The following is a 20,304-nucleotide window of genomic DNA, read 5'->3' on the forward strand; positions in this document are numbered from 1 at the left end:
TCTGCCTGTCTGTCTCTATAGTTTGGGGGCAGTGATTTGCCCTGTAATTGCAACCTCTAATGGATCTAGGAAGAGTTGTTGATTTTCACTTTGTTTAGCATTTTTCTTGTGAGGATAAGAGTGATAACTTTCAAGCTCCTTACATTCTGAACCAGAAAATGAAAGTCAGGTTTTCATGAATTAGAAACATGTCTATTTGCATTTCATTGATGATAACCAGTTTAAAATCTTCATGTTACTTCCAACATCTGGTTCATCATGGAGTTGGACTACATCGATTTTTTTTTTCCTGTTTATAGTGTGTTCTATTTTCTTGATTCTTTGTATGCTGGGTTCTTTTGAGTTATATCTTAGATATTATGAATGCTAAATTGAGGAAATTCTGGATTATGTTATTTTCACCCAAAAAGTATTGGTTCCTTTGTTTTAGTATCTAGTTTTGTTGACTGGGCTTGAACAGCTAACTCTATTTCTTTTGCAGCAGCTCTTATCTTCATTCAGATCTTTGTTTTTGGATGGGCTGCTGAAAGTCTGGACTGTATAAGCATGGTTCAGTGTTTAGTCAGAAATGTGAGTGTATATATATATATATATATATGTGCTGAGGAGGGAGAGGATCCTATAGGTTCTGAGCTCATCATACCCAGAAATGGAAAGTTTTCAGGAATATTTCCTTGCGGGCAAAAAATCTCTGCTTTACTGAATAATCTCTTAGCAACCAGGACCATGTGTTCCTTCAGTAACTTTTGGTGAGGTAGAATCTTGTGATGTCCCAGCCTCTTGATTTCCATATAACAGGGAGTAGGGGAGGGAGACATTGTGGAGATAATCAGAAACCTTTGGAGGCTATGAGCAACCTATATAATCCCACCTCCCTCAGTTATACTGAAATTTGAGTAGCTTTTCACAGAATCTGTAAATTTTTTATTAACCTAGTTAGGACTTTTTTGAGCCAAATGCTCATTTCTACTGTTCTTAATACAATGCCTGTCACAAAGTTAGGTATTCAGTAAATACTAGTTGAATCTATTAATTAGGGATTCACCATAAATTTCTCGCCACTAATAAATTACCTAAGTGTGAACGTTTTGTTTATCTCGGAAATAAGATGATTAAATAAAAATATTTGCATATTTTTCATCTTGCATTCATGTTGATACACAGCCAATATATTTCAAGTCATTTTAAATAAAAGATTAATCTGTCCATGATATACTTTGTTAGATAAAGCTATTTAAATGAATTGTTTTTGGATAAATCCTGTAATGGTGTTTTCTACTTCTTCTTTTTAACTCATTTGTTGAAAGACGGTAGGGAATAGTGGACCAGGTAATTAAATAAAGTTCATGTTGTAGTTTCTGCCTCATATGATAGCCAAAGTAAATGAGATTATTAACATGAACACTTTAAAGATGTGTATCAAAATTAGGAGGCTTATAGAGAGTCTCAAGTAATTAAGTGTGTAGCGTAGCAAATAATGACTTTCTCTAATATTGGGGTTAAGATGTTCAGCAGAGTATGAATTATAAAATCCTCAAAATACAACTTGAAAGACTTTTGACTTTTAGCCCATTATCCTCTTGTTAATGCACATGTAAGAGATTATGTGGGGTTTTTATGTCATTATGGCAAATTATAGGCTGTACTATAGGTGCTATTCAGTATTGGATACGAATGAGTTCCAAGTAGCTTTGTTGATCTTTCACTAAAACTAGGGATTTGGCATTGACTTATCAGTGTGATTATTGTAAAAGAGATGTAGTGTGGAACTGTTTCCTGAGATTAATCCAAGTATTCAGTATCATAATTTAGAAACTCCCTTCAGTTATCTGCCCTACGTCTCCATTTACTCAGTAATGTACGCAGACTGGGAAACCTTAAGAAGGGTTGAGACTTCTGGGTTCATTACAGAGCTGTGGGTAGCCATCTTGCTGTTGTTGACTCTAGTGACCTGTAACTACAGATCAAGCTGTATGCAGCCTTTTTCTCCTTCAGGTAAGTTGGGTTGAAATCCAGTGCTCCAAGCTGCTCTGAGGCTTTAATTGCATGAGTGAACACTGAAAATGTGAAAAACAATTTTAGACCAGAATAGCAAGGTGAGTAAGGCCAAAGAATGTATTTTATGGATATTCATGAATGTCACCCACAGAATTCAATATTTTTTCCAGACGATTCTGAAAGATTATAATTTAATGGATGTTTGTTTTATTCTTCTGAGGACCCAGTTGAAATCCTGTTGATTCTGTAGCAGACTACATTACTATCCTTTGTCTTACTCTTATATCTCTGAGGTAGATGAATGCTTCAGAGGTAAGGTGTTATATTTTCAAAGGACTTTTCTATGTTTCGTTGTATCTGTGTGATCAGAAGGACAGGGAGAAAGTCTGTTTTAAAATTAGCAGCATGAGATATTAGAATCCTATAATGCTTATATGAAGTTTGGTGAAATGGTTAGCCAAAGAGAATTTTCTCCTCAGACTAGTAACTAAATTGATATGTAGGAGCAGCCTTTCCTGAGTGACTTTCCTTGATAGTTAAAACTGCAGCAAGACATTTCAGAAGCAGTTTCCAAGGAAGTGAATGGATAGTGAGGTAATTTTCTTAAGTACTTGGATTCTGATTGTCTCCAGAGGTTTTGAAGCTGTTAGTTACACAATAGACGGATTTGATCTCCTAGGATCTTTGCCAGGTTCGTAATTGCACTGAGATTTTTAATGATAACAAATGACAACATGATGTCCTTCTCTTTATTCTGGGAGTGAGGTGATTTGTACATAAGAAACAAAATTAGGTTTTAGTTTGAAAGGCTTGGAGAATCAGACTTCTTTTAGGCCAAATACAGTGGTATATCTGAGAGAAGAGTTATACAGCCATTGAGTTGTAATTGCTTGATTCATTAAGGTATCCTTGAAAATCATTAGACTGTCAGCAGCATGAGGGCAGGTTTTATGTCATTTTGGTAATCACTGAGTCCTAGCACAATAGTTGACTGTGGTAAGTCCTTATGAATTTTTGTTGGAAGAATGGGAAGTATATTGAATTGCGACATCTTTTTGCTTTTTTTTTTTTTTTTTTTTTTTTTTTAGCATGGGATTAGAGGCAGCAGTTTTGGACAGGAGGCAAGTCTTTTGGCCTTCTGCTCCTGGCAGGCAAGTCTTCATTTTTTAAGACTCTCAAGTGTCACCATGTTTGTGAAGACTTCTTATCTTTTCTAGGTGCAATTGACCTGACTAGTCTTCCTATAATGTGTCCTTTACTTACTGCTTTTATAGCGTCTGTGATGGGTTTATTGCATTTTTATTTGCTTCTTTCTACCATAGTAGAAAGTGCAATTATTATTCATCTGTCTATTCCTGGTATATATATTAGTAGAAAAATGTTCCACTGCAAGTAACAGTTAGCAATAATTATCGGCCAAGGAAGTTAATCTCAGAAAATAGTAAGAAATGTGTATAAAACATAGGTAGATATATGTTTAGTGCTATTTATAATGAAGAAATAGAACCATCCTAGACTAAAACCAATAGAGGACTGATTAAATAAATGATAAATATTTATATAAGGAACTATGAAGTCACAATTAAAATTTATGCATTTTCCAAATTGCCTGCCTTAAGTATATATGAGTTTGGTGAACAGAAAATATTCCTGACCCATATCATACAATAATCTGTATTCAACCCAATATTGGTTTTGTGTTATAGATAAAGTAAAAAAGGAGCAGTAAAGAGGAAAATGGGAAATTAAAATATTGTTCAAATCTACAGTGAAATAAAGGTAGTGAAGTAGGCAACTGGTTTGTTTAGACAGTCCAGGGGATTTGGTATCTTATTCATCAGTTATTGAGTGTATTCTCTGTGCCAACTAAGTGTTGGATGCTGTGACAAATGCAGATAGGCCAAGTCATGGCCTCCTCCCTCAAAGAACTTGCAATCTGGGGAGAATAATATACACACAGAAAATGGGGGAGCAAACGAAAATGAGTACTACAGATTTGAATGCCATAGATATTCAGAGGACAGAGTGATTACATCCTCCTGGGCTGATGAAGATACATTTCTAAGGAGGAGAAGAATTATACTGTAATTAACAGTGGCTTTAGGATTTAAATAAAAATGGAAGGAATATCATATTTAAATGAAGGAGAATGGTGTGAACAAAGGCATGGAGATGGGAAAGTAGACAGCATTTGCAGAGAACTAGCTTGACTCAAATTTTAAGATTCTTCTTGTAGTAGAAAAGCAAATAAAAAGGGCCAGAACTCCGAGAGCCTGTCTTAGAACCTCTGATTCATATTTGCATGCCTTTATATTTGTTGCTTTTAATTTGCAAGTTGCAAAAATGGGCATTTTAATATTAGAAAATCTACTGTAGGACAGTAAGCTGAGAGCTGATAATTTTCCATTCTTGGTTCAATACTTTAGTGAGGACAACATTAGATTAAGAATCAGACCTGGAATGTGGTACTACAGGTTATAATAAGTAGTAGCTCTGTAACCAAACTAAGCCTTGGTTTCCTCATCTGTAAAACAGGTATGATTATTCACCTCTCTGGACTCATTGGGTTTTTAATGAGCAGATCAAGTAAAATGGTATGAATGTGCTTGATGTAGAGCTGGGGGAGCAAGAAAAAAATCTTCAGACAGAACTCCCTCCATACCTCTGTTCCTGTACCTCAACTCTGATGAAAAGATATGTAACTAGGGGAAAGAAGGAATTTACAGATAGATTTGAATCCACCTGAAAATGGAGTACTAAAGTGGTAATAGTCCAGAAAATGTTCCCTCCACCCAGTACCATATCCTTTAGTACATTGTTTCCCGACAGTTAGACTCCAGTATAAGGTTTTGGGGATACTTTTTAGCTATAACCATATAATAACAAACATCCTATTTTCTTTTGGCTGATTGATCCCAGGGCTGCACTGATTCTGTAAACCAACTTGGCAGGATTTCCACAAACTGCTTCTGGGGAGTAGTAATTCTTAGGGAACCAAGGCTACCCCCAAATGAACTATAATACTTTGCCCTTAATTCTTTAGAATGGAACAATAATCAGAATTATCTTGGCCCATGGAGTTGCTTATCAGCAGTTCTCTCAGGACTGCTGTTCTTTTTGGAGAAGGGCCAGTAGAGTGAGTCAGATCTTTTATGTTTTGTTTATAGAGTGACCATCTGACATTGGTCTGAACCACCCAGGTGCAATGAGTTTCCTTTGGCATGATCATTCCACTAGGTATGCTTTCGATTGTGTCTAAGTTGTTTTAAGAAGCCATTTGAGTGGGCCAGTTTCTAAATATGTTATACAAATACAGAGTACATTGCTTCTATGCTATCTTGCCCTTGGCCGACTTATAAGAAAGAAGTTATAAGAAATTATGGCATTAAATGTGTTATTGTATATACTATAAGGATGTTGAAGACATCATTCATTACATTTCTTCTTTTGAGGACACTGGATAATTTTTCTGTCTAATCTCGAAATCATAAGTAATAAAGTTTCTGGGCAACTGGTTTATTTTTATCTTAGGATACCATAGCTCATGTAACAAATTATTTTTTTGGCATTGGCTACTAGGAGGTTTACCCCTTACTTTGTCAAAATTACAGAACCTTCTATATCCTGTCTCTGTCTTATCTCTCTTATTATTGATCTTTCCCTTTGTCATGTTTTTCTCAAATGCTTATTTTTAAACTTTTATTTTATCTTCTTTTATTACATGATTTTGTGTAAATCATGTTTAATTCTTTCCAGAACAGGCCTACCTAGTGTGAATAAAGTGAATTTGATACAGAAATATTAAATTTAATTTGTTGAATTGGTGTACATATTTCCTTTTTTATCATGATTTGGTGATAATCTAGGACACCAATTAAGTGATATCCAGAAATATATAACAACTGAAATTTTATATAAGATAATTTGTGAGGTAAAGCAACAATTGATCATATGCATATAATAACCCCTGCAATGAACAAACAAAGTGTGCACAGATTATATCTTGGCCCTTTCTTCTCAAGCTTCCCTGAGTCTTCATACATTTCACCTGGAAGCCTTTTATAGGAGAGGAAACATACTCCTAAAAATATCTCACAGTTGGTGAAGGAACAGAATGGACTTGTCTGTTGTGTATTGCCTGGTCGGAATCAATTATTCCACACTCACCCTTTGTGATCTAACTCTTTCACTGCCATACCATCTCCACTTCACTATAGGAAAGCTTCAATTTTTGTAGTTTATTTCAGTTAAGTATTAAGAGGCAGGCTGGTTAAATTAATTGACACATGTGAAGAGCTGATAACCCCCCTGTTTAATTTTACCAGTAGTATGCACGTGCTTGCCCCAAAGAATAAGATAGCTCTGTCTCCAGATGTCTTGATCTAGGTTTTCACACTCTTCTTCCCCAAGGAAATAATGTAGCAGTGTACTAAGATATACACAGCTATGTGTATATCTTGCAGCTATAGATATATATGATATACACAGCTATGTGTATATTTTGCAGCTACAAAAATATAATCAAATCTTAAAGGCTGCATAATTTTCCAGTGTATGGATATAACAAGGTTTATTTCCAAATGGTAAAACATTTAGGAATGGTTAAATTATGGTACATGAGTATAATGCAACTATTAAGAATCATGTTTATAGGAAGATTCTTATAATGTATGAATAAAAACATAGAATACAAACTGGAATAACATATGAGCTCAACTCATTAAAATATCTTTTTAATTCAATAGATTTTTGCATGTCTAGTATGTGTCAAGTTTAGTGATGCATATGAGGAAATAACATCAAATAAGATACACATGATTTCTGAAAGCATTAACTAAAATAGGACATCATTACAAAATCAAATCTCCCTTTGAGGATTGGTCATTTTTAATCAAATGTGATTAAGCTCATTTTCTAGTTTGTGGACTTTCCAGGACCCTTGTTTCATTTCTCTTCTGCTTTCTCTCCGAGAATTCATAGCACTCCAGTTCAATTAGATTGAGTTGAAGAGTTTAAAAGCAAAAGAAATCGATAATTCAAGCCTAGAATTCCACATTATTTTTAGATTTTCTTTACCTATGTAGTTAGTGTAACCTAAGAACATCACCTTCTCCCAGGAATCCATCCTTGTAATTTTGTCTGGGCTACTTCTGCAGGAAAAGATACTAGTTTGCAAAGGGAAAAAGTGCTTCTGCACGTGCCTTTTAATTTTATATTACAAACAAACCCACACTCATGCTTTTATGAGATGTAATTCTTATTGTTATGTAGCTTTAACAATTTAATTTTTTGTTGAGACAAATTTCCTTTGAATAATTTTTAATGATATTTATAGAACATGGATCTTTACTTAGAAAGTCTTTATTGAACATGTAAATCTTATTTAAGAATTCATCCTGCAAAATATATATTCTTGAGAATTGAGGCTAATGTTTTATTATCTCTGTCAAGTCATTACATTTTGGTTCTCCTGGTAGTTGTAATGTGATATTCTTAAACATTCACTACAGTGACATGATTTAGTATCTAGTGATGCAACAGTGTTACATCTCACAGAAATAACTGTGTCCTTCTAAGGCCTCAGAGGCATATCACATTTGTCCCATATGCTATTTGCAATGATTTCTCAATGTCATTTTTTTGTGACATGCTTATACAGTATGACAATGTGAGAGTTAAAAATGTGAGAACCTATTTCTCTCTGGTTGAATTGTCTATATTGACCTCTTGAAGTAATTTAGTGTATCTGACCTTATTTATTTTAAAATTAAAATACCTGAACTTCTTATATGATCACTTTTAAAACACCAGATTGTTACATTTGGAGCTAAAATTCTGTGCTGTGGTATGCCTAAGATGATACAACCAAAGCCACATTGTTTATTCTACTTTTTCACTTATACATGGTGTCCATTATGCATTGATCTTGTCCAGCAAAATTAACTTTTTAAACTGATTGTTCTGCTATCTGAAGAATCTTACTAAAATTTAATCGGTAAACTAAAAATAAGCACCTAATGCCATAGTGCATTCTGGTAACTCATAAAAGAAAAAAAAAAAAGAAACTAAAGCCTAATGTAGGCTTGTGAGGTTAAAGGAAGGTTAGTATATACTTACTGGCCATTCAAGGGTATATATAAATGACCATTTTTCCTCTTTTGAGAAGGGTGATATAATGCAACCACACTTACAAGTGATATACTTTCCCGTTTGCAGAATATTTACTGTTTTGCCTACTATCACTGAACTGCCCTGAGTTATATACCGCTATATAATAGGGTTAAAACTCATCCGTGTCCCTTCATTTCCATGGAAAAGACTTTCTGGACAGTGGCTAAGGCTAACATAAGATTCTTGAGCTATCTCCTATGTGTGGCTTACTTCCCACCCACCAAAATGAAGCAAATCCTGTCCAGATGCATTGTCTTCATAATGGCTTCTCTCTTTTTTGTCTCATTTCTACCTTAAGGATTCCTTCTGCCTTACTGCTGTTCTTATTTCTCTTATATTTCTAGAAGAGGCACGTAACTATATTCCTACTATTAGTTCTATCTTCCTTTTATTTTGATGACTGTTCTGTTGCTCCAAGACTCTTATTTTCACAATATTATACAGAACTCATAAGTTTAGGAAATTATGGCCTTTAGCTGATCCAAAAATTGATGTATGTTTAAATGGACAAAAGACTTGAAACAGGCACTTCACAAAAGATATTCAAAGGGCCAATGTGCAAAAAGGTATTCATTTTCATCACTTATCAGGAAAATGCACAATGTGATACCATTACCCCCTCAAGAGTAACAAAGATGAAAAAGACAATACCAAGAGTTTGTAAGAATATAGAGATATAGAATAATTGAAACTCTGCTGGGAGTGTAAATTGGTACAACCACATTGGAAAACTGTTTAGTAGTAATGAGTAGAGCTGAATATAGGCAGCATGTGACCCATTAATTCTACTTCTACACCCAACAGAAATAGAAATATAGGCATACACCCAACAGAAATAGAAATATAGGCATACATCCAACAGAAACAGATACATAGTTTCATCAAAAGACATGCACAAGAATGTTTACAGCACTACTTGTAATAAACCTAAACTTGAAATAACTTAAATTTCTGTCAATAGAATGAATAAATAAATGGGGATATATACCTAACATGGAATCAGTAGTGAGAATGAATGAGCTACAACTATATGCAACAATATGGATGAATCTTACAAACATGATGTTGAGCAAAAGAAGCTTGATCCAAATGAGTACATACTATGATTCCATTTATATGAAATTCAAAAACACACAAAACGTGTAATAAGTCAGGGTAGTCGTTACCCTTATTAGGAATTAGTAACTGGACAGGAAGCAGAAGGAGGGTTTCTGGGGTGCTAGTACTATTCTGCTAAGTGTCTTGATTTGGGTGCTGGTTACCTGGGTGGACTCACTTTGTGAAAATTCAACAAGGTGTATACTAATGATTCGTATACTTTTCTGTATGTATGAGATATATATGTGTATATATATATATAATATAATTTTACAAAAGAGCAGTACTATATGCTGTATTATTTATCTACCACTGCATAACAAATTACCCCAAAACTTAGCAGCTTCATGTAATAAACATTTGTTATCTCACACAGTTTCTGAGAGCAATCTAGGAGCAACTCAGCTGGGTGGTTTTGGCATAGGGTCTCTCATGAGATTGCTATCAAGATGTAGGCTGGGGCTGCAGTCATCCAAAGGCTTGACTGGGCCTGAAGCATCTGCTTCCAAGATGGCTTCCTTTTTTTTTTTTGTTTTTCAGACGGAGTCTCGCTCTGTCGTCCAGGCTGGAGTGCAGTGGCGTGATCTAGGCTCACTGCAACCTCTGCCTACCAGGCTCAAGCGATACTCCTGCTTCAGCCTCCCGAGAAGCTGGGATTACAGATGCCTGCCACCATGCCTGGCTAATTTTTGTATTTTTAGTAGAGATGGGGTTTTGCTATGTTCGCCAAGCTTATCTTAAACTCCTGACCTCAGGTGATCCACCGGCCTTGGCCTCCCCAAAGTGCTGGGATTACAGGCGTGAGCTACTGGTGCCCAGCCCAAGATGGCTTCTTCATGTACCTGTTGAGGGATGCCTCAGTGAAAGCTCTTTGTATTGCCAGAGGCTACAAAATAACCTCACAGATAACATTTTATATATGTATAATATGCTCTTACATATGTGTTTATACATATCTAACAAATGATATCATGAATACTGTTTTATAATTTTTTCTCTACTCAATACATTGTGGACATCCTTTTTTATTTTTTGATTGGCTTATCTGTAGATCTATTTTATCCTTTTTCACAGAGCTCTGTTGAGGTATAATTGTCATATAATTGGCATACATACACATATTTGAAGTGTACAACTGGAGATTTTTTTTATGTATGTGTACACTCATGAATTTATCATCACAATCTAGATAATGGGCAAGCAGTCACCTGCAAAAGTTTCCTACTGTCCCTTTGTAATCCTCTTCTCATACTTTTTAATGGCTGAAAAGCTTTATTTGCATATATGAAGTGTCTTTAAAATCCATACTTACATTTGCTCACACATAGCTCAACCTAATATTTTGTTTAAATTGTAGGATGCTCACCCCATTTAGAGAAAGAAATCCACCTCCCCAACCCCAATCAAGAACCTGCTATTGTATATCATCATAGAGCCAGATTACCTAGGTAAGAATCTTAGCCTTGCCACTTTGCAGACATTATGATCCTGGGCAAATTGTTTAACCACTCTGTATCAAATTCCTTACCTGTAAAGTGGGGATAATAATAGTTTTATATTTAACTCATAAAATTGCAAAGATTAAAGGAATTAACACAATGATCTGATAACAAAGCACTATGTTATTATCTGCTGCTGTTATTATTCCCATGGTTTGTTATGCTAAAAGCCTCTTTTCAGTTTCTCCTGATGATATTAAAGATACGAGTTGCCAGGACCTTGTATTCAAATAGCCTACCAGAACTTATCTCCTCTTTTTAATTCCTACTTCTCTGTCACCTCCCTCTGAGCATCTTGATAAAGGTGAGGAGAAGTATGTAGCTAATCATAGGCTGTTTAAGTATTGGAGAGTTTGGCTTTAGGGACATTTCATAAGGTGAGAGATACCCAAAATAGAACACTTAAAACAATTCCAAGACCTTATCAACCAAGATGTCAAAATATAAATTACATTTCTACATTAAAAAATGTTATTGATCACTTTGATGGTAATGATTACACATGTATAATAACCTTTCCTTGAGCACATACTAAGTGTATATTCTAGGAAAGATCCTAAGAATTAAGGTATTTATTGTCTTTATGAAGCATACTATATTAGTCTGTTCTCACATTGCTATAAAGAAATACCCAAGACTGGGTAATTTATAAACAAAAGAGGTTTAATTGGCTCACGTTTCTACAGGCTGTACAGGAAGCATGATACTGACATCTCCTTAGCTTTTGGGAAGGCCTCAGGGAACTTAAATCGTGGCAGAAGGCGAAGAGCCAGCACTTCACATGGCTGGAACAGGAGGAAGAGAGAGAGGGGGGAGGTGCTACACAGTTTTAAACAATCAGATCTCGGGAGAACTCACTATCACAAGAAAAGCACCAAGGGATGGTGCTAAACCGTTCATGAGAAACTGACCCCATGATCCAATCACCTCCCACCAGGACCCACCTCCTTGATTGTGAGATTTGGGTGGGGACACAGATCCAAACCATATCATTCTGGCACTAGCCCCCCACAAATCACATGTCCCTCTCACATTGCAAAATACAATCATGCCTTCCCAATAGTCCCCCAAAATCTTAAGTCATTTCAGCATTAACTCAAAAGTCCAAAGTTCAAAGTCTTATCTGAAACAAGGCTAGCCCCTCCCACCAATGAGCCTGTAAAATAAAAAACAACTTATTTCCAAAATAAAATGGGGGTATAGGCATTGGGTAATAAATCCCCTTCCAAAAGGGAGAAATCAATCAAAAGAAAGGGGCTATAGGCTCCATGCAAGTCTGAAATCCAGGAAGGTAGTCATTAAGTCTTAAACCTCCAACCTCCAAAATAATCTCCTTTGGCTCCATGGCCTAAATCCATGGCCCAGTGATACAAGGCGTGGGTTCCCAAGGCCTTGGGCAGCTCCACCCCTCTGGCTTTGCAGGGTTCAGCACCCTTGGCTGCTTTCAAGGGCTGATGTTGAGCACCTTCTGCTTTTCCAGGCTGAGGGTACAAGCTGCCAGTGGATCTACCATTCTGGGGTCTGGAAGATGGTGACCCTCTTCTCACAGGTCTACTAGACAATGCCCCAGTGGTGACGTGTGTGGGGGCTCCAACCCCAAATTTCTCCTCCTTACTGCCCTAGTAGAGGTTCCCCATGTGGGCTCTGCCCCTGGAGCAGGCTTCTGTCTGGACATCCAAGCTTTTCCATACATCCTCTGAAATCTAGGCAGAGGCTCTCAGGCCTCAACTCTTGCTCTCTGTGCACTCACAGGCATAACACCATGTGGAAGCTGCCAAGGCTTATGGCTTACATCTTCTGAAGCAGTGGCCTGAACTGAACCTGGGCCCCTTTGGGCCACGACTGAAGCTGGAGCAACTGCGATGTCGGGAGCAGTGTCCCCCGGCTGCACAGGGCAGCAGGGCCCTGGGCCTGGCCCATGAAACAGTTCTTCCCTCCTAGGCCTCCAGGCCTGTGATAGGAGGGGCTGCCATGAAGATCTCTGAAATGCCTTTGAGGAGTTTTTCCCCATCATCTTGGCTAATAGTATTTGGTTTCTTTCCACTTCTGCAAATTTCTGCAGCCTTCTTGAATTCTTCTCCTGAAAATTGACTTTTCTTTCCTACCACGTGGCCAGGCTGCAAATTTTCCAAGCTTTTATGCTCTGCTTTCCTTTTAAATATGTTCCAGTTTTATGTTATTTCTTTGCCTACACATATTAGAATAGGTGGTTAAAAGCAGCCAGGCCACATCTTGAATGCTTTGCTGCTGAGACATTTCTTCTGCCAGATATCCTAAATCATCATTGTCAAGTTCAAAGTTCCACAGATCCCTAGGGTGGGGGTACAATTCAGTCAAATTCTTTGCAAGGACATAACAATAGTGGCCTTTGCTCCATTTTCCAGTTAGTTCCTCATGTCCATCTGAGACCTCTTCGGCCTGGCCTTCACTGTCCATATCACTATAACCATTCAACCAGTCTCTAGGAAGTTCCAAACTTTCCTGCATTTTCCTATCTCCTTCTGATCCCTCCACACTCTTCCACCTCTGCCCATTACCTAGTTCCAAAGTCACTTCCACATTTTTAGGTATCTTTATAGCAGTGCTGCACTCCTTGGTACCAATTTTCTTTATTAATTCATTCTTGCAGTGCTATAAAGAAATACATGAGACTGGGTAATTTATAAAGAAACAAGGTTTAATTGGGTCATGGTTCCACAGGCTGTATAGGAAGCATAATGCTGGCATCTGCTTGGCTTCTGGGAAAGCCTCAGGAAACTTACAATCATGGTGGAAGGTGAAGGGCAGCCAGCACTTCACATGGCTGGAACAGGAGGAATAGGTAGAGGGGAGAGGTGCTACACACTTTTAAACAACCAGATCTTGCAATAACTCACTCACTCATTCTCACAAGAACAGTACTAAGGGGATAGTGCTAAACCATTCATGAGAAACTGCTCCCATGATCCAGTCACCTCCCACCAGACCTCACCTTCTACATTGGGAATTACAGTTGAATATGAGATTTGGGTAGGGACAGAGATCCAAACCATATCACATATTATCAATTTAAAGAGATGTGGCTAGGATTTGTAGGGGTGAGAATAGACTGGGATCTGCTGTTAGAGCAAAGGAAGTGAGTAGGTCTTACTGATTGGTAATGTTAGATTGAGCCATGGATATTGCCACTGTTTTAAACCTGTGTAATGGGAGTTTGTTTTACTACTTTCCCTAAACTGAAAACAACCTGTCTTAGTTGATTCAGGCTGCTATAACAAAATACTTTAGGTAATTTTTGAAAAACAAAAATTTATTGCTCACAGTTCTGGAAGCTGGAAGTCAAAAATCAAGATGACAGCAGATTTAGTGTCTGGTGAGAGCTTACTCTCTGCTTCAAAGATGGTACCACCTTATTGCTGTGTCCTCACATGGCAAAAGGGGATGGGAAGCTCCCTCAAGCCTCTTTTATAAGGATAGTAATCCCATTCATGAGAATGGAGCCTCATGACTTAATCCCTTCCCAAAGGCTCCACTCCTTAACACTGTCATATTAGGTATTAATTTCCAACATATGAATTTTGGAGGGACACCAACATTCAGACCATAGCACAATCCAAATGTCTATCACTGGTAGAATGAAAAAATGAACAGGGGTGTGTGTGTATGTACGTGCCTGTGTGTGTGCGTATAATATACAGAGCCAGTGGTAAGAATGAATCTGCTACAATTACATGCAACAGTATGGATGAATCTCACAAACAAGATACTAAGCAGAAGCCAAAAAGATCTAAAAGCATACACTAATGATTTCATTTATATGAAGATCAAAAACATAAAACTCATTTATGGTATAAGAAATCAGGCTAGTGATTCCTAGTGCTTGCCACTCCTTTCCTCACTCTGCTAATTCCAAATACAGAGCTTGTCCTCATCACTGTAGACACCACCACTACTCTTACTGTCACAGAGTGTCCAGGATCGTCTTCTTCAGGGCTTATAAGTTCCAGGGAAGTTACAAGGATGGCTATCTACAAGGAAACATTGAATGGGAACTGGCTAAAGCCTCAGGCATGGATAAAAATTGGATGGGAACTGGCTAAAGCTTCAGGCATGGATAAAAACTGGATGGCAACTGGCTAAAGCCTCAGGCATGGGTAGGCATCCTTAAGGTAGGGAGGTCATCAGCAAGGGAGTGGCTACTGCCCAAGGGAAGCCCTCAGCACATAGCCCCAGGAATGATTCTGACCATGTGCTTGCTCTTATGGTCTGTAGATGCTGAACCCACCCCCAAGGGCCTCCTGAGCATTCAAGAAATGGTCGTCACTAAAAATGCTCCTTCATTTTTAATCTGTTTGATTCCTTTCAGATCTGACTCTTCCAACCTAGGCCTCACTGATTTCTCTCTTTCCTTCAATCCAGAGGAGACTTTCTAGCCTGGGAGGTGGGTTTGGATGGGTAGGATTGGAGGAGGAACTTTGCTGTCATTATTTTATTTAATCATTTCATCTGCTAGAAGACTTCTTGCTTTTCCCGAGTACCTTAAAAGACAGAAAAACTTATTTTTTCTCTTTTTCTGACCCATACTTGTCTTTCATTTGAAGCAATAAACACAAAATGGCTTAGCTACTTGCAGGGCAGATGGTAAATACACAGTAAAGAAAGAAGCAGAAAAAAAAAATCAACTATTGGGAGAAACAACTTTAGTTAACATCTTAAAATGTCATTCCATAAAACTTGGGTTGAATTAGGTAATAAAAGTATTATTAATATTATGGAATTTCGAGGAGAAACGAGTTTATATGTGTGGTGGAGAAAATATTTGTTTTTAGATTCATAGTATTTCAGGTGGTGGCAAGATATCCAGGTGTAGATTTCTCTGAGGCATTTAGAATTGTAGAACTGAAGGGGTGGGTCAAGGCTGAATGTATAGATTTATTGGGATGGAAGGGAAAATTCAAACATCATTGTGGATGAAATAAACTATTTCTGTTAGAGAATACAATTGACTTTATGAAGTGATTTATAGGGCATCTAGATTGTTTGATGTGGTATGCAATGACGTTTTTATTCACTGAGGTGTTTCTATAGTTAGGATAATTTTATTTAGATGGTTGTACCATTATCTTTAATATTTTATTGTGCACTAGAAATATAAGTCCCACTGTCATATAAAATTAGTATCTCTCACTTGAAAGAGAATTCTCTTACTGTTGTTATTGATGGTGCTGGATCTCTGTTTCAATGATACTTACACTGGGCTTCCTTGTTTTTTTTTTTTGACTTGTTGATGTGTGAAAATTCAGTAAGCCATTTCATTGTATACACCAGGGATTGTCAAATAATGGCTGGCTGCCAGTTTTTTGTGTCCATGAACTGAGAATGGTTTTACATTTTTAAATGCTTTAAAAAAATTAAAGAAGAGTATTTTATGATACATGAAAACTATATAAAATTCACATTTCAGTGGCCATAAATAAAGTTTTTATTAAAATATAGCCACACACAAATTTGTTTCTGTGGCTGCTTTCATGCTATAATAGTAGAGTTGGGTAGTTACAACAGAGACCATATGACCCTCACAGCCTAAAATATTTATTCTCTAGCTTTTTACTGAAAAAGCCAACTGACCCCTGATATACACCAACTGATGTATCATTAGAAAACTAGTGCCAGGTGTGGTGGCTCACACCTGTAATCTCAGCACTTTGGGAGGCTCAAGCTTGCCTAGCTTTGCCCAGGTGGGTGGATCACTTGAGCCCAGGAGTTTGAGACCAGCCTGGGCAACATGGTAAAACCCTGTCTATACAAAAAAAAAAAATAATAAAATTACCAGGAGGCTTAGGTGGGAGGATCACTTGAGCCTGGGAGGCAGAGGCTGCAGTGAGCCGTGATCACGCCACTGCACCCCAGCCAGGGTGACAGAGCAAGACTCTGTCTCAAAAAAAAAAAAAAAAAAGAAAGAAAGAAAACTAGTAAAGACAAGTATCCTCCCAAAATAAATAAACCCACAGAAGTACTTCTCTTACACAGGCAATAGTTATTTAAATAACATCTTTTCCTGCCTTATTTTTCTCCTTGATAGGTACCACTATTTATCACTGTTTTACACACTATACTTTTGCTTGTTTAAATAAACAGACACAGGTTAACTATTTCTTCCCTCTAGATTGTACCTTTAGTGAGGGCAGGGGTTTGTGTCTGTATTGCTTACTGTTGGATTCTCTAGCACCTAAGCATGTAGTAGACACACAATGTATATTTTATTTGAGTATTTACATATCTGTTGAATTGAGAAACCAACCACTGAATTTGCTACATATTACTGTATCCAACTCTGAGGATGATTGGACAACAGAAACAAAGTATCCTTTGTTCATTTGCATAGCTTGCCTAGCTTTGCTCTAGAGATTGTAGGAGGTATCTCTGAATTTCAGCAACATCTAACAGCATTTTGATGCTCTTCCCTAGTGTATATAGCACTGAAGAGCAGCATGTATAAATATACATATCAGACACATTCATTTTTTAAAGTATTTAATAATATACTTTTATAATGTATTTTATATAATTATGTTAATGTATAATATATTAATTTTATATTATATTTAATATTAATTATACATAATATTAATATAAATTTACATATATCTATACCTCAAGCTTTTATATCAATTATTGTTTTTATACATTTGAAACAGTAGGCTTTGTGAAGTGAATGGCACATAGTAAATACCTAAAGGTTAAAATAATTGAAGAATTAAGCAAGCTCTTAGGTAATAGGTTATTTTATGAAGACAGAGGTATTGCTTAGTGGTTTCCCACTGCATTTACAAGGAAATCCAAATGGTTTTCCAGCCAGTAAAGCCTTGTATGATTTGACTGTTTGTCTTTGTCTCCCACCTTCTCCCTTGCTGGTTATGCTGAAATCAAACTGAACTTCTTTAAGTTACTCTATTACCTTAAGGTCCTTTATTTATAGTTAAACAAAATATTATGACTCCCCCATAGACTCTAAGCTCTATTAGGGCAGGGATCGCAGATGCCTTATTCACCATTAACAACCCAATGTTTAGCAAAATGACTGAAATATAATAAGCAGTAAGTAAATATTTTTTGAACGACTACATATGTGATTAAAAGAACACTGGGGTTGATGTCAGAAACCCTAGGTTAAAATCTTGGGAATGCATTCTGAATCTTGATCTAGGTGCCAATTACACAACTGTGTTTGTGAAAAGTCATCGAGTTTTAATGTTGGCATTTTTTATGTAAATGTGTTGATAAGTTTTAAAAAACCCAGTCCTAAGATCCTCCTATTTACTATGCAAACATGAGTAAGTCCATTTCTCTGAAATTTAGTTTTATCATTTATCAAGAAGTCTTTTTGTACCTATCTCATAGAGTTGTTGCAAGCACTGATGACATAAGTGAAATTGCCTTATCATAATAGATATACAACAAATACCAGTTGAATTTCTATTCTTTGAAGGATGTAGAAGCAGAAAGATGCAGAGGTGAAACTCCCAGAGGCCAAATAGGATGAAACTTTCACTTACAGAAGAGCTCTTAGATAGCCAAAGAGAGTTGTGACTTTAAGAGACACCACGAGGAGGGAATGAACTCCAGGGAGCGCCTGATCTCTAGAGTATGCCACAGGGCCCTTAGATCCTTTTACCCTTAAAAATTAGAAGGGCCTTGGGGTCTGGGGAAGAGCAAGAGGCTGGGATTGGCAAAGCCTTAAGGAGAGTAACCAGGTATTATAGTCATGTTGTGTCCAAGCACTGTGGTGGACAGTGAAGTGATTGACCTGCCTAATTAACCATGAGAGAGCCATGTGGCTAAAAAGTAAAGTCAACATAGAAGTCCTCTACAAATTAAAATGTAGCCTGCAGTGTTTCAAAACTAATAAAGAGCTAGATATAATTGAATCGCAGAGGATTACTGGAAGAAGAATAACTACCAAGAATAGGAGTTTCCAGTCTATTGTCACAGGAAGCCTGGGAAAGAGGGGCAAGTACATTTAAGGAACATCAAAAATGGCAAAGGAACTCTTAGAGAACCTCCAGTTCTCTAAGAGTTCCAAATTTAAATCATTCCAAATTTAAAACATCAAAGCAGCTGAAGCCAAATCATATTTAACTTAAAACATTCAGCTTACAAAATATACCTTATATCACTCTCTGTCTGAAGTAGTAATAGTTACACTTAATGTATTGAACCATATTGACCAACTAGAAGATAAACCTCAAGAACCAGATTGTACCAAAACATTTTGAGGGGAAAAATACCAAATCTTTGTTAGTATCCTCATAGGTCCTGCTTACTGTTACTAAGAACTATTAAAACTGTTATTTAATCCTCCCTCAAAGCCTGTGAAATTAGAGCTACTATTAATAACCCCATTATGGTTGAAGAAACTAAGTCTTAAAGAGGCTAAATAACTTTCCCAAGATCAGATAGATGGTAATTGGCAGACAAGGCCTCAAGCCCACATATGTATGATAGCAAAACCCATGCTCTTACCTGTTGTTGGAACTCTTTGTTGAGATGTATATAACGTGTCATCATTTAAAAGCTCACGCTTGTATGTGTCTATTAAGATAAGTATATCAAGGCTGGGCACAGTGGTTCACTCCTGTAATCCCAGCACTTTGGGCGGCCAAGGCGGGCGAATCACGAGGTCAGGAGGTCGAGACCAGCATGGCCAACATGGTGAAACCCCTGTTTCTACTAAAAATGCAAAAAAATAGCTGGGCATAGAGATGGGTGCACATAATCCCAGCTACTCGGGAGGCTGAGGCAGGAGAATCGCTTGAACCCGGGAGGCGGAGGTTGCAGTCAGCTGAGATTGCACCACTGCACTCCAGCCCAGGCCACAAAGTGAGACTCCATCTCAAAAAAAAAAAAAAAGATATCAAAACATCAAGTTATACACCTTAAATATATACAATTAAGAAAGACTATAGTAAAAAAATTCAGACTGAAAAATCAACAGGAAACAAACCTGATATGGTTCTCAGAAAAGATATACTTTCCAAAAGGTAGATAAAATATGATACAGATTCTATTATTGTCCCAAATTAAGGAAATTTTAGTGCATCTAATAAGATAAGTAATATATAAAAGAGCCTAACATTTTCCCTAGTATATTATAACATAGTAATTATTCAATCAACATTCAAACAACTGTATATTATACAGTGGTATTTTGTTTGGTATTTTCTGAACTGAAATGATAGCAGCTCCCAGGAAATTGATATAAAGTCAGTCTGGATCTCCATCTAAAACATAGTGTCCACTTTGCAACCTTCAGCCTGTATTTGGGGATGCATACTTCTGTATATAGTTGTTTGACAGTTTTAGTGATGCTGGGCTCCTAATAATGTGGATATTAGTTTGCTCTACCTAAGTACTGTACTGAACACTGCATTTCTGCATTGTTAAGTTGTCATTTCTAAACTGTATGAACAATATAAAGATCAATAAAGTCTTAACTTACAATTTTAAAAGCTGTGGTACTGGACATCTGTTCAGTGCCAATATGACTTCCATATACAAG

The 20,304-nt window shown here is 36.9% G+C and overlaps 1 protein-coding gene across 5 annotated transcripts in view; it reads left to right on the forward strand.

The window, feature by feature from the left end:
- Positions 1-20,304, forward strand: part of PRRG1 (proline rich and Gla domain 1) — a 107,928-nt gene that overhangs the window by 26,611 nt on the left and 61,013 nt on the right. For 2 of the 5 annotated variants that reach the window (NM_001173489.2, NM_000950.3), the window contains exon 2: positions 10,625-10,715. The exons of the other annotated variants lie outside the window; for them this stretch is intronic. The gene's annotated coding sequence lies outside the window, so the exon portion shown is untranslated. The remainder of the gene's footprint in view (positions 1-10,624; positions 10,716-20,304) is intronic. 5 annotated transcript variants of the gene reach the window in all.

The sequence above is a fragment of the Homo sapiens genome, chromosome X (genome assembly GCF_000001405.40).
Source record: "Homo sapiens chromosome X, GRCh38.p14 Primary Assembly".
NCBI lineage: Eukaryota > Metazoa > Chordata > Mammalia > Primates > Hominidae > Homo > Homo sapiens.